Genomic DNA, 23,487 nt, shown 5'->3' on the forward strand with positions numbered 1-23,487 from the left:
AAGTAATAAGCCGGGTGCAGTGGCTCATCCCTGTAATCCCAGCACTTTGGAAGGCCAAGGCGGGCAGACCACCTGAGGTCAAGAGTTGGAGAACAACAACAAAAAAAAAAGAGCTGGAGAACAGCCTGACCAACATTAAGAAACCCCATCTCTATTAAAAATACAAAATTAGCCGGCCGTAGTGGCGCATGCCTGTAATCTAATCCCAGCTACTCGGGAGGCTGAGGCAGGAGAATCGCTTAAATCCGGGAGGTGGAGGTTGCAGTGAGCCGAGATCATGCCATTGCACTCCAGCCTGTGCAACAAGAGCAAAACTCTGTCTCAAAAAATAAAGAGTAATAACAGAGATTCTTCCTCTTATGTGGAAAAATACGTTGTAAAACTGTAATCATGTGTAACACCAGAATGAGAATAGATAAATCATTGAGGTATATATACATATACACATATATATATAAGTCTCGGGAGAAAATGGACTTATGTAAACACTCACACTTTACATCCAAGTTAATAACAAATGCATTAAAGAGTTAAACTGATTTGTTAATCCATTAAAATACTAGAGAGAAAGTATTTATTTATTTATTTATTTAGAGACAGAGTCTTGCTCTGTCACCCAGGCTGGAGTGCAGTGGCACAATCATAGCTCACTGCAGACTTAACCTCCTGGGTTCAAGCAATTCTCCCTCCTCAGCCTCTCCAATAGCTGGGAGTACAGGCACCTGCCCCTGCACCTGGCTACTTTTTTTCTTTTTTTGAGACTGAGTCTCCTTCTGTCACCCAGGCTGGAGTGCAGTGGTGCAATCTTAGCTTACTACAACCTCCACCTCACAGGTTCAAGCGATTCTCATGCTCAGCCTCCTGAGTGGCTGGGATTACTGGTGCATACCACCACATCTGGCTAATTATTGTATTTTTGGTAGAGACCAGATTTTGCCAGGTTGGCCAGGCTGCTCTTGAACTCCTGACCTCAAGTGGTCTGCCCACCTCGGCCTCCCAAAGTGCTGGGATTACAGGTGTGAGCCATTACACCGAGCCTACAACTTGCTGATTTTTTTTTTCTTTTGAGATGGACTATTGCTCTGTCGCCCAGGCTGGATTGCAGTGGCACGATCTTGGCTCACTGCAACCTCTGCCTCCTGGGTTCAAGTGATCCTTCTGCTTCAGCCTCTCGAATAGCTGGGATTACAGATGTGCACCACCACACCCGGCTAATTTTTGTATTTTTAGTAGAGATGGGGTTTTACCATCTTGGCCAGGCTGTTCTTGAACTCCTGACCTTGTGATCCACCCACCTCGCCCTCCCAGAGTCGCCCGGCCACCTGGCTGATTTTTTAAACTTATTTTTTAGAGATGAGATCTCACTATACTACCCAGGCTGGTCTTGAACTTCTGGCCTCAGATGATCCTCCTGCCTGGGCCTCCCAAAATTCTGGGATTACAGACATGAGTCACCCACACCCAGCTGGAAAATATGTATCAAATGTTATGATGGAAAAGAACTTCCTAAGTTTAATAACATTGGAATAACTCCCAAATAAAAAGATAAATAGCTTTGCCTTTGTAAACAGAACTTATGTAGTTAACACAGAAAGCCAAAGGCAAATAGTCATCTTAGCCATTGTACTGGTAAAGTTTGTCATCTGCTTACTTGTAAGGAGAGGAAATGTCCTGGTGGAAACTCTCTAACTTGCCTAAGTATGCTTTGTTTGTTTGTTTGTTTGTTTGTTTTGAAGACAGAGTCTCACTCTGTCTCTATTGCCCAGGCTGGAGTGCAGTGGTGTGATCTTGGCTCACTGCAACCCTCTACCTCCTGGGTTCGTGCAATTCTCCTGCCTCAGCCACCCAGGTAGCTAGGATTACTGGCATGCACCATCATGCCTGGCTAATTTTTGTATTTTTAGTAGAGACAGGGTTTCACCATGTTAGCCAGGCTGGTCTCAAACTCCTGACCTCAAGTGATCTGGCTGCTTCAGCCTCCTAAAGTGCTGGGATTACAGGTGTGAGCCACTGTGCCCAGCCTTGGCTAAGTGTGCTTTCTTTCCCAGGCCACATTTAACATTCCAGCAATACAGCTCACTTCTGAGGGAGCAAAACTATTCAAGCTAGGCCAGGCATGGTGGCTCACACCTGTAGTTCCAGCTACTCAGGAGGCTCAGGCAGGAGGATCACTTGAGGCCAGGATTTAGAGACCAGCCTAGGCAACATAGTGAGACCACATCTCTACAAAAAAATAAAAAATAGCCAGGCGTGGTGTCGCACACCCATAGAGTCTCAGCTACCCAGGAGGCTGAAGCAGGAGGATTGTTTGAGCTCTCAGGAGGTGGAGACAGTTGAGTGCTGTGATTGTGCCACTGTACTCCAGTCTGGGTGACAGAGTAAGACCCTGCCTCTGAAAAAAAGAAAAAGAAAGATTCTTAAGAAAACCAAGTGCAAAAAATAGGTCACAAGAGTTTTATATAAGTGAAAATAAAATAAACCACTCCAAATCGAGTGGCTTGAGACAATAAACATTTGTTTTTTCCCTTGTTTTATGAGTCTAAATGTTTTATGGCTGGCTCTGAATAGTCAGGGACTGTCTCACTCACATCTGGTAGCTGGCAGGCTGATGGTTCTAAGGGGTCCTCAACTGGGACAGTTCATCTCTGTTCCAGGTGGTCTCTCATCTCCCAAAAGGGCTGGCCCAGGCTTCTTCTCATGGCATTTTTTTTTTTTTTTTTTGAGATGGAGTCTCACTCGTCGCCCAGGCTGGAGTGCAGTGGTGCTATCTTGGCTCACTGCAAGCTCCGCCTCCCAGGTTCACGCCATTCTCCTGCCTCAGCCTCCTGAGTAGCTGGGACTACAGGCGCCCGCCACCATGCCTGGCTAATTTTTTGTATTTTTAGTAGAGACGGGGTTTCACCGTGTTAGCCAGGATGGTCTCGATCTCCTGACCTTGTGATCCACCCGTCTCGGCTTCCCAAAGTGCTGGGATTACAGGCGTGAGCCACCGCGCCAGGCCTCTCATGGCATTTTTGCAGCTCTAAAGAGCGGCAAGAGAACGTGCCCCAAAGTGCAAGCCCTTTTCAAGCCTCTCCTGGCTTCACAATTGCTAAGTTTCCATTGACCAATGCAAGACCGAATGACCAAGCCCAGAGTCCGCAGGGGAGGGTATTACACAAGGCTGGAATACAGGAGGATGTGAACACAAGAGGCCTTCACTATAAGAATCTACCTCAAGTATGTGTATTTATTTGAGACACAGTGTCTCTCTGTTGCCCAGGCTGGAGTGCAGTGGCGCAATCTCAGCTCACTGCAACTTCCGCTTCCCAGGTTCAAGAGATTCTCCTGCCTCAGCTTCCTCAGTAGCTGGAATTACAGGTGCCTGCCACCACACCCAGCTAATTTTTGCATCTTTTTATTTTAATTTTTGAGACACAGCCTCACTCTGTTGCCCAGGCTGGAGTGCAGTGGCGCAGTCTTGGCTCACTGCAACCTCTGCCTCCCAGGTTCAAGTGATTCTCCTGCCTCAGCCTCCCCAGTGGCTGGGATTACAGGCACCCACCACCAAGCCTGGCTAGCTTTTGTAGTTTTAGTAGAGACAGGGTTTCACCATGTTGGCCAGGCTGGTTTCCAAATCCAGACCTCAAGTGATCTGCCTGTTACCTTCCAAAGTTCTGGGATTACTGGTGTGAGCCACTATACTTGGCCTCAAGTATGTTTATGGACCTTAAATCAATTTAATTTAGATTCTGAGTACTCAGGATTGAGCTGGTGAGAAATTCAATCCTGATCATTTTTAGATGATTTCGCTAAACTGTACCTGACCATGGCTGTGCCATGGGGGACCCCTACAGTTGTTGATTGATTGTCCACACTGGTCAGAAGCATAGCTTGGTGGGGGTGTGGTGTATAGAAGGGCAAGTCATTGCCTTCCCTGAGAACATTCTCCAAAAGCAGCACTAAGATTTACTTTGCCATGGGTTGGGTTTCCCAGGAAGCCAAACTTGAGTTAGAGATTAGTGTGCAAGTGATTCATTAGGGAATGCATATGAGATCACCAGTTAAGCCAGGAGTGCTTCAACAAGGCCTTGAAAGTCTGGTGGGGAGGCAGAAGAGATAAGAGGTTTCTCAGACATAGTAAAGATTGATCTGGGGCCGGGCATGATGGGTCACACCTGTAATCCTAGCACTTTCCAAGGCTGAGGCGGGAGGATCACTTGAGGCCAGAAGTTTGAGAGCAGCCAGGCAACATAGCGAGACCTTGTCTCTATCAAAAATAATTTTTTTTTTGAGATAGAGTTTCACTCTTGTTGCCCAGGCTGGAGTGCAATGGCACAATCTCGGCTCACTGCAAACTCTGCCACCTGGGTTCAAGTGATTCTCCCGCCTCAGCCTTCTGAGTAGCTGGGATTACAGGCACCTGCCACCACGCCCAGCTAATTTTTGTGTTTTTAGTAGAGACAGGGCTTCATCATGTTGGCCAGGCTGGTCTCGAACTCCTGACCTCAAGTGATCTGCCAGTCTTGGCCTCCCAAAGTGCTGGGATTACAGGTATGAGCCAACATGCCCAGCCCCCAAACTTTTTTTTAAATTAGTCTGGTATGATGGCATGTGCCTGTAATTCTAGTTACTTGGGAGGCTTAGGTTGGCAGCATCATGTGACCCCAGGAGTTCAATGCTGCAGTGAGCTATGATGACACCACTGCACTCCAGCCTGGTCAATAAAGAGCGAGACTCTGTCTCAAAACAAAACAAAAAACCGCCCCCCCAAAAAAAACAGATTGCTCTGGAACACAGCTGGGAAGCCTGAAGCCTGACTTTAAAGAAAGGGGCTGTGCGTGGCTGACTTCTGATCTCTTGGGATTGGAGTACAGGAAGGGAAGAGAAAAAAAAGTGGAACAGAAAAGGTCTTGTTTGAGTGTGACTGTTGTGAGCTGGTGTCAAATTTGTTGGATGTTTAACGCTGCCAGCTCTTTGGTATTTTGGTGTGTTGGTGAGTTTTCTGAGGCTCTCCTCCCTTCAGTCACTGGGTGTCTATTACCTTCAGTCTCATTGATGAAAGCAAATACCTTTCCATTCTGTCTCACCCCTTAAGTCCTTCCGCAGCCCTCTAGGAAACTAGTGATAACCTTCAGCTTCTCTCTGTTGAGATCTATGTGCACCTCCAAATAGCAAAGCCCTTCTGGGTGGGATTTTTTCTTTTTTTGTTTTTGTTTGTTTGTTTTTGAGACAGGGTCTCACTCTGTTGCCCAGGCTGGAGTACAATGGCGTGATCACAGCTCACTGCAGCCTCGACCTTCCAGATTCAGGTGATCCTCCTATCTCAGTCCCCCAGGTAGCTGGGACTACAGGCACACACCACCACATTCAGCTAAAATTTTTTTTAAGAGATGGGGTGGGGGGGGTCTCACTTGTTGCCCAGGCTGGTCTTGAACTCTTGGCCTCAAGTGATCCACCTGCCTTGATCTCCCAAAGTGCTGGGATTACAGGCATGAGCCACTGCACCTGGCTAACCCCTCCAATCTTAAAGCTTAAAACTTACATCTGTTTTATCTGAATTCCTTCCTCAATAAAGGACACCCAAGTCTCTCAAAAAGTATCAAAGACAGCCAGGCATGGTGGTTCACACCTGTAATCCCAGCACTTTGGGAGGCCGAGGCAGGCGGATCACGAGGTCAGGAGGTCGAGACCATCCTGGCTAACACGGTGAAACCCTGTCTCTACTAAAAAAATACAAAAAAATTAGCCAGGCGTGGTGGCGGGCACCTATAGTCTCAGCTACTCTGGAGGCTGAGGCAGGAGAATGGCGTAATCCTGGGAGGCAGAGCTTGCAGTGAGCTGAGATCGCCCCACTGCACTCCAGCCTGGGCGACAGAGACTCCATCTCAAAAAAAAAAAAAAAAAAGTATCAAAGACTTGAAACTCACCAGACCATCGCACCCAGACAATGAGACTCCAGGCCCCTCATTCATCATGATTGCTTCCTTACCCCCTCCCGAGTTCCTCTTTTCTCAGAGGTAGTTACATTTCTTCCCTGCTGTTTAAGCCCCTAATTTTAGTCTGTCAGGGAGATGGATTTGAGACTTGTCTCCCCTCTCCTGGCCTGCAGCACCCAATTAAAGCCTTCTTCTTTGGCAAGAATCATCGTCTCAATGGTTGGCTTTCTGTGCAGCGAGCGGCAGGACCCAGACTGAATCCCTGGGGTTTCAGTAACACACTGATGTAGCCCCCTTGCTACTCAAAGTATGGACCATGGTCCAACAGCACAATCATCATCTGAGAACTTAAGGTAAATTGTCAGGCCCCACCCCAGCCCTGCTGAATCAGAATCTGCATTTTATTTTATTTTATTTTATTTTTTGGATGGAGTCTCACTCTGTCACCCTGCCACTCTGCATGATCTCGGCTCACTGCAACCTCTGCCTCCCAGGTTCAAGTGATTCTCCTGCCTCAGTCAGCCTCCCGAGTAGCTAGGATTACATGCATGGGCCACTGTGCCCAGGTAATTTTTTTTTTTGAGACGGAGTCTTGCTCTGTTGCCCAGGCTGGAGTGCAGTGGTGTGATCTCAGCTCACTGCAAGCTCCGCCTCCTGGATTCACACCATTCTCCTGCCTCAGCCTCCCGAGTAGCTAGGACTACAGGTGCCCGCCACCACGCCCAGCTAATTTTTTGTATTTTTAGTAGAGACGGAGTTTCACCGTGTTAACCAGGATGGTCTGGATCTCCTGACCTCATGATCTGCCAGCCTCGGCTTCCCAAAGTGCTGGGATTACAGGCGTGAGCCACCATGCCTGGCCTTTTTTTTTTTGAGACAGAGTCTTGCACTGTCGCCCAGGCTGGAGTGCAGTGTCTTGATCTCAGCTCACCACAACCTCCAACTTCCAGTTTCAAGCAATTCTCCTGCCTCAGCCTCCTGAGTAGCTAGGATTACAGGTGCCAGCCACCACACCCGGCTAATTTTTGTTTTTTTGTGTTTTTAGTAGAGATGGGGTTTCACCATGTTGGCCAGGCTGGTCTCAAACTCCTTACCTTGTGATCAGCCCGCCTCAGCCTCCCAAAGTGCTGGGATTACAGGTGTGAGCCACCACACCCGGCCTAATTTTTGTATTATTAGTAGAGATGGGGTTTCACCATGTTGGCCAGGCTGTTCTTGAACTCCTGACCTCAAGTGATCCACCTCCTTGGCTTCCCAGAGTGCTGGGATTACAGGTGTGAGCCACCACGCCTGGCCAGAATCTGCATTTTAACAAGATATGATGTGTATGCTCATTAAAGTGAGAAATGCTGGCTTAGCACATTTTCTAGAATGTGATTTTTTGATGATTCCAGTGAAACTGACATTTTTAACAGGAAAAGAAAAAGAAATCAAGGTCGTGGGCTGGCCATATTCTCGCCATGTTCTTTTGCACTGGCCCTCAGTTCAAGCCTTGCGTTAGAATCTCCATGGACTTTCCTCAAACAGCATGAGTCTAGGCCTCAGATCTGATTTGAGGGTTTCAGAGAAGGGGGTCTGTCATCTATGAATTTTGAAGTATCTCTCCAGGTTAAGCTCCCAGTTAAGATTCCCTGATCAGACAGTACAGGGTACTTAGCTGCCTCATACCAAGTTAATTTTTTAAATTGCAAAATTTCTTGAGATATAATATCGGATAAGAAGTGATCCTTGGCTGGGCTTGGTGGCCCATGCCTATAATCACAGTACTTCCGGAGACCAAGGCTGGAGGATTGCTTGAGGCCAGGAATTTGAGACTAGCCTGGGCAATGTAGTGAGACCCCTGTCTCTACAAAACAAACAAACAAAAAAGCTGGGCATGGTGGCACACACTTGTAGTCCTAGCTACTCGGGAGGCTGGAGGCCCAGGAGTTTGAGGCTGGAGGGAGCTATGATCATGCCTCTGCACTCCAGCCAGGGTGACAAAGCAAGACACTGTCTCATGAAAAAAAAAGAAAGAAAAAGGTGACCCTTGGCTGTTTTTCAGAAGCGCAGGGGAAAAGGGGTCATATTTGGAACCTGGATTCTTCTCCATGGCCTCCAAACCTGGAGGAGTGTGGTCCCTCTGGAAGTGTCCAGTTGTGGCATTTCCCTGGTACTTGGAGGACCCAAGGAACTGCTCATTCCACCATCACACCCTGTCCTGCACACACCCCTGCTCAAACTCTGGCCACCAACCCAGGCACAGCTCACAGTCCAGGCTTGCTCAATTCCTCTGCCTCCTCAGACAAGAATGGCTGGAAAAAGTGACAGGGCAGGGTTTCTTGGAAAGCAATCTGGCCTGCATCAGCATTAATGATTAAAACGTGTCCTCATGTGGCAATTCCCCAACTGAGAGCCCATTCCTAAGCTATTTTAACTCATCAGTTCAGAAATTCTAGAGTCCCTGTCCTTAGTTTTTGAGGTCTGGATGCTTTTTTTTCCAGAGGATCCAATCGAGACACAATTGACTAGAAGGCTTCAGAAGCCACAGAAAATACCTACCTACCTATGGCCGGGCGCAGTGGCTCACGCCTGTAATCCCAGCATTTTGGGAGGCCGAGGCGGGCAGATCACAAGGTCAGGAGATCGAGACCATCCTGGCTAACACAGTAAAACCCCATCTCTACTAAAAATACAAAAAAATTAGCTGGGCTTGGTGGCGGGCGCCTGTAGTCCCAGCTACTTGGGAGGCTGAGGCAGGAGAATGGTGTGAACCCGGGAGGCGGAGCTTGCAATGAGCCGACATCGCACTACCGCACTCCAGCCTGGGTGACAGAGACAGATTCTGTCTCAAAAAAAAAAAAAAAAATCCACCTGCCTATTATCTATCTGTCTATCTCATTATCTACTTATCATCTATCTACCTATCCATCCATCTATCTGTCATCCAACTATCTATCCATCTATATACCTATCATCTATCTATTATCTATTTATCCATCTATCTATATACCTATCATCCGTCCATCCATCATCTATTTATCTATCCATCTATCTATATACTTATCATCCATGCATCTATCATCTATCAATCATCTATCATCTATCTATCCATCTATCTAGATACCTATCTTCCGTCTATCATCTATCCATCTACCTATATACCTATTATTTATCATCTATCTATTATCTATTTATCCTTCTATCTATATACCTATCATTCATCCATCCTCTACCTGTCCATCTAGTTATATAGCTATTATCTTTTTTTTTTTTTTGAGACAAAGTCTCGCTCTTATCCCCCATGCTGGAGTGCAATGGCACGATCTCAGTTCACTGCAACCTTCGCCTCCCAGGTTCAAGTGATTCTCCTGCCTCAGTCTCCTGAGTAGCTGGGATTTCAGGCATGCACCACCATGCCTGGCTAATTTTTGTATTTTTAGTAGAGACGGGGTTTCATCATGTTGGCCAGGCTGGTCTTGAACTCCTGACCTCAGGTGATCCACCCGCCTTCCGGCCTCCCAAAGTGCTAGAATTACAGGTGTGAGCCACTGCCCCCAGCCATTTTTTTTTTTTTTTGAGATGGAGTTTCACTTTTGTTGCCCAGGGGCAGGAGTGCAATGGTGTCATCTTGGCTTACCACAACCTCTGCCTCCTGGGTTCAAGGTATTCTCCTGCCTCAGCCTCCCGAGTAGCTGGGATTACAGGCATGTACCTCCATGCCCAGCTAATTTTGTATTTTTAGTAGAGATGGAGTTTCTCCATGTTGGTCAGGCTGGTCTCAAACTCCCGACCTCAGGTGATCTGCCCTCCTCTGCCTCCCAAAGTGCTGAGATTACAGGCATGAGCCACTGCGCCTGGCGATTTCACACTTCTGATCTCCGGAGCTGTGGGAGAATAAGTTTCTGTTGTGCCAAGTCACCCAGTTTGTGGTCATCTGTTATGACAGTCTGGGAAACCAATACACCTCCAGCAGCTCACGGCCAGTCCACCTAGGACTGTGTGTGTATCCTGTGGGCATCATGCAAACCACCCCCACTCCCATTCCACCTTGACTGCCAGCCTAGGGTTGTGTCCAACAGCACAGCAGATATTTGCAGGGAGCAGAGCAACAGGCCAGGGACCGGTGGAAGGGCCTGGCTAGTGGGGCCAGGCCAGGCCCAGGTGTCTGGAACCTTGCAGATTTGCTGCACCCTGGAAATATCCTGGAGATAATATTTACTCTAATGTAATTTACTCTCAAATACTGTACTTCTGCCTTTGGTGCTTTCTCCCCTCTACCTCCTGACCAGGGATCACTAGAGGCCATTGGGGAGTGAGGAGGGAAAGAGCCTTCCTTTTGCCTCTTGCAAACTGGCCTCTCTCCAGGGCATGATCCCAGCAAAGAGCCAGCCCCATTGTGGTAGCCCAGAAGTGCCTGGTGGGCGTTGAAGGGGAGTGGGGTGTCCACCACCCACCCCTTGGTGAGCTGCATGAAGGCTCCCGGCGAGGCATCCCAAATGCCTTCCCTGCTCTCTGCACAGATTCTTGTCCTGGTTGCTTTTCCTTCTCTGCCCAGCCTGGCTCTGCCACCTCCAGCGCCTCCCAGCCTGGGCACCAGCCAGCTGCACTTTCCTTGAATGACTGGCAAGTACAACAGGACCAGGCTGGAATCATCGTCAGATGGGGCACAGGATATTTCCACAGTCATGAAGTATCTCCCAACAGATTACTTATTTATCACAAAAGAAAAACTAACTTTGCAGGGGAGAAAACTGGTGAATTTCTCTTTAACCAAATGATCAATACGTCCCACTATTGGAACAAACAGACCTCATGGGCTCCTGAAACGACTGACACCCGGGAAAGTTACAACACACTTCTGGGGCACATAACTTGTGTACTTCTAGAATGAAAGCCAGAAAGAGAGAGGAAATGTTCCAGATTAAAGGAGACTAAAGTGGCACGACAGCTAACTGCAACACATCTTGCTATAAAGGACATAATTGAAACAATCAGGGAAATTGCACTATGGACTGTATAGTAGATAACAGTGTCTGTGTCATGGCGATGTTAAATTTCCTTCATTTGATCATTGTATAAGAGAATGTTCTTTTTTTTTTTTTTTTTTTTTTTTGAGAGACAGTCTTGTTCTGTCCCTTAGGCTGGAGTGCAGTTGCTCGATCTCAGCTCCCTGCAACCTCTGCTTCTCAGGTTCAAGCAATTCTCCTGCCTGAGCCTCACAAGTAGCTGGGATTACAGGTGCCCACAACCGTACTGGCTAATTTTTGTATTTTTTAGTAGAGATGGGGTTTCACCATGTTGGCAAGGCTGGTCTCAAACTCCTGACCTCAGGTAATCCTCGTGCCTTAGCCTCCCAAAGTGCTGGGGTTACAGGCATGAGCCACCAAGCCTGGCCAAGAATGTTCTCATTTTTAGGAGACACCAATGAAGTATTTAGGAGTAAAGGGACAGAGGACGGTGTCTGTAATTTCAAATGATTCAATAACATTAAACATAATAACCTATCTGTATATATAGAGAGATTAAGCAAATGAGGCAAATGTTAATTGGTGAATCAACAGTTGGACACTTGGTGAATTGTATGGATATTGGAGTTCATGGTATTCTCACAATTTTTTTCTATGTTTAAATTTTTTTCAAAATAAGGTTTTAAATAAAAACAAGTCTGGGTGCCATGGCTCATGCCTGTAATCTCAGCACTTTGAGAGGCCAAGGCAGGAGGATCCCTTGAGCTCAGGAGTTTGAGAACAGCCTGGGCAACATAGTGAAACCCGGTCTCTATTAAAAAAATTTTCCCAAGTAGCTGGGATTTATAGGCACATGCCACCATGCCTGGCTAATTTTTGTATTTTTAGTAGAGACAGGGTTTCACCACGTTGGCCAGGCTCGTCTCGAACTCCAGACCTCAGGTGATCCACCCTCCTCAGGCTCCCAAAGTGTTGGGATTACAGGCGTGAGCCACCACACCCAGTCTAAATTTTTTTTTAAAAAGCCAGGTGTGGTGGCATGTGCCTGTAGTCCCAGCTACTCTAGAGGCTAAGGTGGGAGGATTGCTTGAGCCCAGGAGGTGGAGGCTGCAGTGAACCAAGACTACACCACCACACTCCAGCCTGGACAACAGAGTGAGACCCAGTCCCAAAAAAAAAAAAAAAAGTAAAAAACAAGGCTGGGCACGGTGGCTCACGCCTATACTCCCAGCACTTTGGGAGGCCGAGGCAAGTGGATCACCTGAGGTCAGGGTTTCCAGAGTAGCCTGGCCAACATGGTGAAACCTGGTCTCTACTAAAAGTACAAATATTAGCCAGGCATGGTTGTGTACACTTGTAATCCCAGCTACTTGGGAGGCTAAGGCAGGAGAATCGCTTGAACCCAGGAGGCGGAGGTTGGTTAGCCGAGATAGCACCACCGCACTTCCTCCTGGGTAACAGAACAAGAATCTGTCTCAAAAAAAAAAAAAAGTAAAAAGTAAAAAACAAACACGAACCATAGGGCTTTTTGTCTATAGGTAACAGAGATATAGAATAAAGTGAACTGGGCCGGGCGCGGTGGCTCACGTCTGTAATCCCAGCACTTTGGGAGGCCGAGGCAGGCAGATCACCAGGTCAGATCGAGACCATCCTGGCTAACAAGGTGAAACCCCATCTCTACTAAAAAAATACAAAAATTAGCTGGGTGTGCTGGCGGGCGCCTGTAGTCCCAGCTACTCGGGAGGCTGAGGCAGGAGAATGGCATGAACCCGGCAGGCGGGGAGCTTGCAGTGAGCTGAGATTGCGCCCACTGCACTCCAGCCTGGGCAACAAAGCGAGACTCTGTCTCAAAAAAATAATAATAATAAGTAAAAAAGAATAAAGTGAATTGATGATTCTTGAGGGAAATGCCGTCCCATCGTTCAGTTGACTCCATCTCATCAAATATTCCCAGGCCTGTCATGGGCCTGTCATAACAGCTTCCTATCTATCTGATGTAGGTGAGGGTGGAGAACCACACAAATACACAAAGAAAGAGAGTACAAAGTAGATTGGGAGAAGTGCCTTAAGAAAGGAATAAATCAGACTGGGCAGGGTGGCTCATGCCTGTAATCCCTGTGCTTTAGGAGGCCGAGGCTGAAGGATCTCTTGAGGCCAAGAGTTAGAAACCAGTCTGGACAACATAGCGAGACCCCTGTCTCTACACAAAACTTAAAAATTAGCTGGATGTGGTGACGTGTGCCTGTGGTCCTAGCTACTCAAGAGGCTGACGAGGGAGGATCACTTGAGCCCAGGAGTTTGAGGTTGCAATGAGCTATGATCATGCCAGTGCACTCCGGCCTGGGTGACAGTGAAATATAATCTCTAAAAAAGAAAGAAAGAAAACGAAAGGAAGAAAGGAAGGAAGGAAGGAAAATAGGGAGGGAGGGAAGGATGGAGGGAGGGAGGGAGGGAAGGAAGGAGAGAGGGAGGGAAGGAAGGAGATAGGGAAGAAAGGAGGGAAGGAAGGAGATAGGGAGGGAAGGAAGGGAAGGAAGGAAGGAAGGAAGGAAATAAATCAGGGTACAGATCACAAGAGTCGTAGAGATGGGTCCCTGCCTATCGGAATTGTCTTTCGTGGTGTGATGTGAAGGTTGGCTGAAGTTTTGCTGGCAGAGTTATGCTGGGAAACACAGGTGGATGGAGCTGCAGGAGGAAAGGAATAGAAGCGGAGCCCTGGGCACACTAAGGGATGAGTAAGTCATCATGGCCTTGAGTGCTTTTACTAAGCATGCTTTTCTTTCTTTCTTTTCCCTCCCTCCCTTCCTTCCTTCCTTCCTCCCCCTTCCCTTCCCTTCCCCTCCCCTCCCCTCCCGTCCCCTCTCCTTTCTCTCTCCCTTCCTTCCTTCCTTTTTCTTTCTTTCTTTCCTTCCTTCCTTCCTTCCTTCCTTCCTTCCTTCCTTCCTTCCTTCCTTTCTTTCTCTTTCCCCTTCCTTCCTTCCTTCCTTCCTCTCTTTCTCTCTTTCTTTCCTTTTCTTTGTTTTGTTTTTTTTTTTGACAGAGTCTCACACTGTTGCCCAGGCTGGAGTGCAGTGACGCGATCTCAGCTCACTGCAACCTCCACCTCCCAAGTTCAAGTGATTCTCTGCCTCAGCTTCCCAAGTAGCTGGGATTACAGGCATACGCCACCATGCCCGGATAATGTTTGTATTTTTAGTAGAGACAGGGTTTCACTATGTTGGCCAGGCTGGCCTCAAACTCCTGACCTTGTGATCTGTCTGCCATAGACTCCCAAAGTGCTGGGATTACAGGCATGAGCCACTGTGCCTGGACTCATGCTTTTCCTTTACCCTTCTTAGGTTCAGTGACTGGGGCCTGCAAATTAAACAGACAAAAGACAGATTAACAGGAGAAATTTTTTTTTTTTCCTTTAATACAGAGTTTTGCTCTTGTTGCCCAGGCTGGAGTGTAATGGCATGATCTCGGCTCACTGGAACCTCTGCCTCCCGGGTTTAAGCGATTCTCCTGCCGCAGCCTCCCAAGTTGCTGGGATTACAGGTGCCTGCCACGACGCCCAGCTAATTTTTTGTATTTTTAGTAGAGATGGGTTTTTGCCATGTTGGCCAGGCTGGTCTCGATCTCCTGACCTCATGTGATCCACCTGCCTCAGCCTCCCAAAGTGCTGGGATTACAGGCCTGAGCCACTGCACCTAACTGAGAAAAGGTTTATTTCACATGCATCTGAGAACCAACAAAAAAACCCAGCTGGCTCTTTAAGTATTTAGAATTAAAGATTTACATATCTAATTTACTAGTGGGGAGGAAGGAGGGAGATATGGGCTTTCACCTACAATAAACTGTGGGAAGTTAAATATCTGAGGGAAACTAATGGAAGAGAAAGGTTATTTAGTAAGGTTTCTTTCTTTTTTTTTCTTTTCTTTTGGAAATGGAGTCTTACTCTGTCACCCAGGCTGCAGTGCAGTGGCGCAATCTCTGCTCACTGCAACCTCCACTTCCTGGGTTCAAGCAGTTCTCCTGCCTCAGCCTCCTGAGTAGCTGGGATTATAGGCACCTGCCACCATGCCCAGATAATTTTTGTATTTCTAGTAGAGACCGCATTTCACCACATTGGACAGGCTGGTCTCAAACTCCTGACCTCAGGTGATCCTCCAACCTCGGCCACCCAAAGTCCTGGGATTACAGGGGTGAGCCACCACGTCTGGCCAATTTAGTAAGGTTTCTTAGTCTTGTGTGATAAGAGTTATCTGCTAGTTGCTTTCAGAGAACAACTAATATAAATTTCCTTTACGAAAGGGAAATTTATGCTCCAATTTTAGGGAGAAAGGGGAAGACAGAGAGCTCCTATGTTTGCTGTTTGTTTCTTAATTGCCTTCGGCTCAAAATAAGCCTTATGCCAAAATGGCATATTTGAGGGTGGCATATTCTGAACCCTTCATATGTAATTGATCACCAGATTCTCCACTAAACTGTAAGCCCAATAATGGTAGCAGGGCCCGGTCATGGTGGCTCACGGCTGTAATCTCAGCATGTTGGAAGGCTGAGGGAGGCAGATCACTTAAGGCCAGGAGTTCGAGACCCGCCTGACCAACATGGTGAAACCCCGTCTCTACTAAATACAAAAATTAGCCAGGCATGGTGACACGCGCCTGTAATCTCAGCTACTCGAGAGGCTGAGGCATGAGAATCACTTGAACCCAGGAGGCGGAGGTTGCACTGAGCCAAGATTGTACAACTGCACTCCAGCCTGGGCAACGGAGTGAGACTCTGTCTCAAAAAAAAAAAAAAAAAAAGGAATGGTAGCAGGGACTGTCTTGGTCACTGCTGTGTCCTCAGAGCCTAGAACAGTGCCTGGTGTGGGGCTTTGGCAAAGCCTGTGTGCTGGTGTCCCCTGGATCCTGCAAGAGTCTTCTAGCCCTTGAAGAAGGTGCTTGCCCTGGGAAAGGGACTTGGGAGGGTGGCAAGAAGCTGGTAGCCCTTCTAGCCTCTTTTTGTTTGTTTGTTTTTTTGAGACAGAGTCTCGCTCTGTTGCTCAGGCTGGAGTGCAATGGCGTGATTTCGGCTCACTGCAACCTCTACCTCCCCTGTTCAAGTGATTCTCTTGCCTCAGCCTCCCAAGTAGTTGGGATTACAGGTGTCCACCACTATGCCTGGTTAATTTTTGTATTTTTAGTAGAGACAGGGTTTTAGTATGTTGGTCAGGCTGGTCTCGAACTCCTGATCTCAGGTGATCCACCTGCCTTGGCCTCTGAAAGTGCTGGGATTACAGGTGTAAGCCACTGCACCCTTTTTTTTTCTTTCCTTTTTGACAAAGTCTCACTCTTGTTGCCCAGGCTGGAGCACAGTGGCGCAATCTTGGCTCACTGCCACCTCTGCCTCCCAGGATTAAGCAATTCTCCTGCCTCAGCGTCCTGAGTAGCTGGGATTACAGGTGCCCACCACCACACCTGGCTAATTGTTGTGTTTTTAGCAGAGATGGGTTTCACCATGTTGGCCAGGCTGGTCTCAAACTCCCGACCTCAAGTGAACTGCCTGCCTTGGCCTCCCAAAGTGCTGGGATTACAGGTGTGAGCCACTGCACCTGGCCCCTTCCAGCCTCTTTAACCAGGGAGGGAAAGCTAAGCCACAGGAGGAAATGGCACTCTTGAAGCAGGTCGCCAGGGGCCTAAGCAGGCCGTCCAAGGGGTAGGGTGCAGGTAGGGTAGTGTGGCAGTCAGTCCTGGTCTGCGCTGGTGTCACTGGTCAGCATCTGTGGACAGGGAAGGGCCAGCTGCTCCCTGAAGCACCTCCCACTCAGCCTCTCCTTCCTGGAGCTTCTCACCACTCTGAGAGTCCTAGACTTGCCTAAGAGGGGAAGGCATACCCCTGGAACTATTCCACCCCATACTTAGAAGCTAGGTGCTTAGAAGCACCCAGCGCCCCTCTTTAGTGTAATCTAAGCCCCTCATCCTATATCTCCAACTCAGCAGTTCTCAAACCTGGTAGAGGAACAGAATTTATTGGGGAGCCTTTTTTTTTTTTTTGAGACAGAGCCTCACTCTGTCGCCCAGGCTGGAGTGCAGTGGTGCAATCCCAGCTCACTGCAACCTCCATCTCCCTAGTTCAAGCAATTCCCCTGCCTCAGCCTCCCAAGTAGCTGAGATTACAGGTGCACGCTACCATGTCCGGTTAATTTTTTTGTATTTTTTATATTTTTTAGTAAAGACAGGGTTTCACCATGTTGGCCAAACTTGTCTCGAGCTCCATACCTCAGGCAATCCACCTGCCTCAGCCTCCCAAAGTGCTGGGATTACAGGAGTGAGCCACTGTGCCTGGCCCTTTTTTTTTTTTTTTTTTTTTTTTGTAGACAGATCTTCCTCAGTTGCCCAGGCTGGAGTGCAGTGGCATGATCACAGCTCACTGCAGTCTCAAACTCCTGGGCTCCAGCAATTCTCCCACCTCAGCCTCCCAAGTAGCTGGGACTACAGGTGCACACCACCACACCTGGTTAACTATTTTTGTAGAGAGTGGGTCTTACTATGTTGTCCAGGCTGGTCTCAAACACCTGGCCTCAAGAGATGTTCCTGCCCAGCCTCCCAAGTAGCTGGGACTGCAGGCATGCATTACTACACTGGCTAACTTTTTTTTTTTTTTGAGACAGAGTCTCGCTCTGTCGCCCAGGCTGGAGTGCAATGGCATGATTTCGGCTCACTGCAAGCTCCACCTCCTGGATTCACGCCATTCTCCTGCCTCAGCCTCCCGAGTAGCTGGGACTACAGGCGCCCGCCACCATGCCTGGCAAATTTTATTTTTGTATTTTTAGTAGAAATGGGATTTCACTGTGTTAGCCAGGATGGTCTCGATCCCCTGACCTCGTGATCTACCCTCCTCGGCCTCCCAAAGTGCTGGGATTAAAGGCGTGAGCCACCGTGCCTGGCCCATTCTGGCTAATTTTTAAAAATTTTTTTGTAGAGCTGAGGATCTCCCTATGTTGTCCAGGCTGGTCTTGAACTCCTGGCTTCAGGCGATCCTCATGCCTTGGCCTCCCAACGTGTTGGGATTACAGGCGTGAGCCACTGTGCCTGACCTTTGTTTTTTTTTTTTTAAGTGGAGACAGGGTCTCTCTATGTTGCCCAGGCTGGAACTCCTGGCCTTAAGTGATCCTCTGTCTTGGCCTCCCACAGTGCTAGGATTACAGGCGTGAACCACCTCGCATAGTTCTATTATTATTATTCTTTTTAAATGAAGTGTAACAAACATACAGAAAAGACCAGGCATGGTGGCTCACTCCTATAATCCCAGCACTTTGGGAAGCTGAGGCAGGAGGATCACTTGAGCCCAAGAAATTCAAGACCAGCCTGGGCAATACAGTGAAACCCCCGTCTCAATTAAAGAAAAATAAAATAAAATTTAAAAAAATACAGAAAAGCCCACATGTATATGTAGCTTGATGAAATTTCACAAAGTAAATAAACCAGCTAATTGCTCCCATTTCAAGAAACAGCATATCACCAGCCAGTCTCTCTGAAGACACCCTAATGCTGCCCGTCAATCACTAGCCCACCCCATCTCACTGTGGGGGTTGTGGGGAGTTCCTCCCAGATCATCTGCTTCCTAAAACTGCGGAGAGGCTGGTGTTTACTTTACTAAGCTATGCAGGTAGTTTAGATGCATGGTGAGGTTTAGAAAACATTCCTGGAAGCCTTACAATCTCCTTGGTCATAAGTAAAACTAGAGGATGCTTTGCTCTCAGCCTGGAACACAGCACAGCTGTCTGTCTGGGTTTCCCTATGGAGCAGTGGACATTTCCTGAATCTGGGGTCTGCAGAGCACATGGTGGCAGCTCCCGGGTTCAGGAAGCCCAGTTGGTCGGCTCCAGCCTGGGCATGTGGCCCTCTCTCCCTGGCAGGAGTTGCATGAAGAGGTATTTTTGGAAGGTGCAGGAATTCTGTAGCCACTTGGAAAATGCCTGCTCATAGGCTGGGCTGAATTTTCATTTTCAAATGATGATGTGGCTGAGGGGCCTGACCTGCCCAGTTTTCCAGGATCTAGGGGTGGAGAAAGTCAGGAGTCCTGCTCACATTTTTCTTTTTCTTTAAATTGTATCACCCTTTTCTTTCTGCCTTAAATCCCTGTATCCCAGAAGCTTCAAGAGAACTGTGAGGTGCTTCCCGCAGGCCATTGACTCTCTGATGCTGTATGCAGGTAAGTGTTTCATCTCATCCCAAATTAGCCAGGGCTTTTAGGTCACTTTAGGTGGAGTGAAAGCTTAACTCTCAGTTCTCCGTCAAAGATCTTTGGCTCTGGAGTCCTCTCCTGGAGTCTCCCTGGCCTTTCCTGGCAGGACCCTGAGTGACCCAAGTGTCCTCCTGTTCTCCCTGGGTCCCGGCTCCTGGCTCCCGTGCCCTGCTGGCCTTCTTTGACAATTGCAGTGTTTGCTGTTCATCTAGCCATTCATTACCTGTCCATCCGTCCATCCAAACATCCATCCAGTGCCAGGCCAGTTGCTGCTGGTTGTGACAGACACATTCATCTCCTTCTTTTTTTTTTTTTTTTTTGAGATGGAATCTTGCTCTGTCTCCCAGGCTGGAGTGCAGTGGTGCAATCTCAGCTCACTGCAACCGCCACCTCCTGGGTTCAAGTGATTCTCCTGCCTCAGCCTCCCGAGTAGCTGGGATTACAGGTGCCCACCACCACACCCAGCTAATTTTTGTATTTTTAGTAGAGATGGGGTTTCACCATGTTGGCCAGGCTGGTCTCGAACTTCTGACCTCAAGTGATCTGATCGCCTCGCTTCTTGAAATTCTGGGATTACAGTCGTGAGCCACTGCACCTGGCCTCAAATTTTTCATTTCTGAGGGACTCCCCATCTCTGCCATTTCCCACCTCTGCCACCATCTTCCCTCCGTGCCAGACCCGAGAATGAAAATGCCATGAAGAGAGCTTTGCTGCATTTGTGTCCCTTTTTTTTTTTTCTGAGACAGAGTCTCGCTCTGTCGCCCAGGCTGGAGTGCAGGGGCACTATCTCGGTTCACTGCAGCCTCTGCCTCCTGGGTTCAAGGAATCTGACTGCCTCAGCCTCCTGAGTTACTGGGACTACCGCCGCGCGGCACCATGCCCGGCTAATTGTTGTATTTTTAGAGAGGAGGTTTCACCATGCTGGCCAGAGGTTTCACCATGCTGGCCAGGATGGTCTTGATCTCCTCACCTCGTGATCTGCCCGCTTCGGCCTCCCAAAGTGCTGGGATTACAGGCATGAGCCACTGCGCGGGGCCTGTGTCCTTCTTAAGAGCAAAGCAATCCAACAACCCCCAAAGGAAAAGTGCTGGAGGACAATGCTGCCTTTTCAGTTCTCAAAGCCTGCACATTCCTAGGTATGTTGCATAGACTTTCCCTCCAGGAGGTGAGGTTGCTGTAGTAAGGAGTCCTCACTCATCCTTGGCCAGGTCTTCTCTAGAGGTGAGTTCCCAAGGTAGAAGCGGTGCAAAGGCTGACCTAGAGGAGAGAGACTCGCAGCTCTCACTGGGATGGCAGCAAGCACTGGCCCATTTTCTCCTCTTCTGGGCTCTGCCAGGGTTGCGTAGGCTGTTTGGAAGAAAACAGGCTGTGAGCCCTTTGAATTGCCTGAAGATGGGGCAAAGCCATCTATACACAGGTGAAGTTATCTTTTTTTTTTTTTTTTTGAGATGGAGTTTCGCTCTGTCACCCAGGCTGGAGTGCAGTGGCGCAATCTCGGCTCACTGCAAGCTCCGCCTCCGGGATTCACGCCATTCTCCTGCCTCAGCCTCCCGGGTAGCTGGAACTACAGGCGCCCGCCAGCACACCCGGCTAATTTTTTTGTATTTTTAGTAGAGACGGGGTTTCACCGTGTTAGCCAGGGTGGTCTTGATCTCCTGACCTCATGATCCATCCGCTTCGGCCTCCCAAAGTGCTGGGATTGCAGGCGTGAGCCACCGCGCCCGACCGAGGTTATCTTTTTTTAATTTTTTTGAGACAGAGATTTGCGCTGTCGCTCAGGCTGGAGTGCAGTTGCACAGTCTCCGCTCACCGCAGCCTCCACATCCTGAGTTCAAGCGATTCTCCTGCCTCAGCCTCCCGAGTTGCTGGGATTACAGGTGTGCCCCCACCACACCTGGCTAATTTTTGTGTTTTTAGTAGAGATTGGGTTTTACCATGTTGACCAGGCTGGTCTCGAACTACTGATCTCAAGTGATCTGCCCTCCTCAGACTCCCAAAGTGCTGGCATTACAGGTGTGAGCCACCATACCTGGCTGATGCTCTCTGGTGAGGTGATCTAATTCTGGGCTGATCACCTGGAAAGGTAAAGCCCGGGAGAGAAAATAGAAACGCAGAAAGAGTGTTCAGAATCTATGAGGCTCATTAAATTACACAGAGGAATAGAAATGTGGTGTGAATCAGATGTGCATACAGTCTTGGACAGTTTTTCAGGAACAAGTTTTCCTTTAAAAAAAAGTTATGTATTCATTCCTTGTAAATAGGTAATCCAGGCCAGGCGTGATGGCTCATGCCTATAATCCCACCACTTTGGGAGGCCAGCGTTGGAGGACTGCTTGAGCCCAGGAGTTCAAGACCAGTTTGGGCAACATAGCAAGATCCCATCTCTACCAAAAAAAAAAAAAAAAAAAAAGTAAAAGGCTGGGCACGGTGGCTTACACCTGAAATCCCAGCACTTTGGGAGGCCAAGGTGGGCAGATCACATGAGGCCAGGAGTTCGAGACCAGCCTGGCCAACATGGTGAAACCCTGTCTCTACTAAAAATACAAAAATTAGCTGGGCGTGGTGGTGGGCACCTGTAATCCCAGCTACTCGAGAGGCTGATGCAGGAGAATTGCTTGAACCTGGGAGGCAGAGGTTGCAGTCAGCCGATATCATGCCACTGCACACCAGCCTGGGCAACAGAGCGAGACTCTGTCTAAAAAAAAAAAAATTAGCAGGGAGTGGGTGGCGTGCACCCGTAGTCTTAGCTACTCAGGAGGCTGAGGTGGGAGGATCACTTGAGCCCAGGCGTTTGAGGCTGCAGTGAGCTATGACTATGCCACTGTACTCCAGCCTGGGTGACAGAATGGGACCCTGCCTATTAAAATAAGAAAAAAAAAAAAAAAAGGTAATCCAAGCATATAGCACATAATTTTTAAAGGTGCCCAAGAGTACATAGCAAAGAATTAGTCTCTTTCCTATTCCTGTGCCCAAGTCCTTCAGTTTCCCTCCCAGAGACAACACTGTTACCAATTTAATGTGTGCATCTTTCTTGATATTTCCTCTGAAAATAACAAGTGTGTGTGTATGTGTATTTTAAATATATACAAATGGGTATATTATACACACTGTTTTGAACTTTGTTCTTTTCACTTGAGTATATTTTGGAGTTTTTTTTCCTTCTAGCACATATACTATATGTGTTGGGGCAGATTTAGAAAGCAGGAAAAGTTCATCTTGTTCTCAATAACCCTGAGCTTTGCTTCAGATCAAGCTGTTTCTTACTTCTGCCTCAGAGGCTGGACCCTGTCAGAGGCTGGACCCTGCTTCTTACTTCTGCCTCAGAGTGTAGTCCCCGGATCACCTGAAGCTGTCCTGCTCAGTGAGACATCCTGCCGTATGACAGGTTTCACTGAAAGGATCGTGTCCTTTCTTCTTACTGAATTCCCCACATCTAGAATTCGTTCTCACAGTTTAATACGTGCTAGGAGGACCAGTGTCAGCTCCCTATGTGGCTACTCAATTCTTTTTCTAGGTCTTATAGGTGGGGGAAGGATTTTCTGGGCAGTGTGGGAGGTTATCTCAGATCTCCATCTCTACTTTGTGGAAAGAGCCTGGCAGGGGCTGTGCACCGGTGGTGGCTTCCGTATTACTGAGGCCATGGTGAGTCCTTTTCCTGAAGAGGTCTGAAATGTAGAAAGCAGAATGTAACTTGGCCCTTGCTTAACATTAAAAGACTGGTTAGAGGATCGCTTGAGGTCAGAAGTTCGAGACTAGCTTGGGCAACATAGTGAGACCCTGTCTCTAAAAACAAAACAAAAGGTGGGCGCGGTGGCTCACACCTGTAATCCCGTCACTTTGGAAGGTGGAGCCGGGCAGATCATCTGAGGTCAGGAGTTTGAGACCAGCCCGGCCAACATGGCAAAACCCTGTCTCTAATAAAACTACAAAAAAATTAGCTGGGCATGGTGGCAGGCGCCTGTAATCCCAGCTACTGGGGAGGCTGAGGCTGAAGAATCACTTGAACTCGGGAGGCGGAGGTTGTAGTGAGCCAAGGTCATACATACCATTGCACTCCAGCCTGGGCAACAAGAGCGAAACTCCATCTCAAAACAAAAACAAACAAACAACAAAATTGCTGTCTACCATCTTATAGTCAGTTTTCTTATCTATCTCTGTGTGTGTGTGTGTATACACCCACACACATATATACACACACACACATATACACACAAACACACACACACACACACATATATATAATTATTATTTTTTTTTTTGGGTGAGAGGCAAGGTCTCAGTCTGTCACCCAGGCTGGAGTGCAGTGGTGCCATCATGGCTCACTGCAGCCTAGAACTCCTGGGCTCACGGGACCCTCCTGCCTGGGTTTCCCAAACTGCTGGGATTACAGGCGTGAGCCACCACAC

The 23,487-nt window shown here is 48.1% G+C and overlaps 1 protein-coding gene across 2 annotated transcripts in view; it reads left to right on the plus strand.

Moving 5' to 3' along the window:
- The first annotated feature begins 18,878 nt into the window (after nucleotides 1-18,878).
- Nucleotides 18,879-23,487, plus strand: part of TPST1 (tyrosylprotein sulfotransferase 1) — a 161,654-nt gene continuing 157,045 nt past the window's right edge. For both annotated transcript variants that reach the window (XM_047420959.1, XM_047420957.1), the window contains exon 1: nucleotides 18,879-19,048. The gene's annotated coding sequence lies outside the window, so the exon portion shown is untranslated. The remainder of the gene's footprint in view (nucleotides 19,049-23,487) is intronic.

This window comes from Homo sapiens, chromosome 7 (assembly GCF_000001405.40).
Source record: "Homo sapiens chromosome 7, GRCh38.p14 Primary Assembly".
In the NCBI taxonomy this organism is placed as follows: domain Eukaryota; kingdom Metazoa; phylum Chordata; class Mammalia; order Primates; family Hominidae; genus Homo; species Homo sapiens.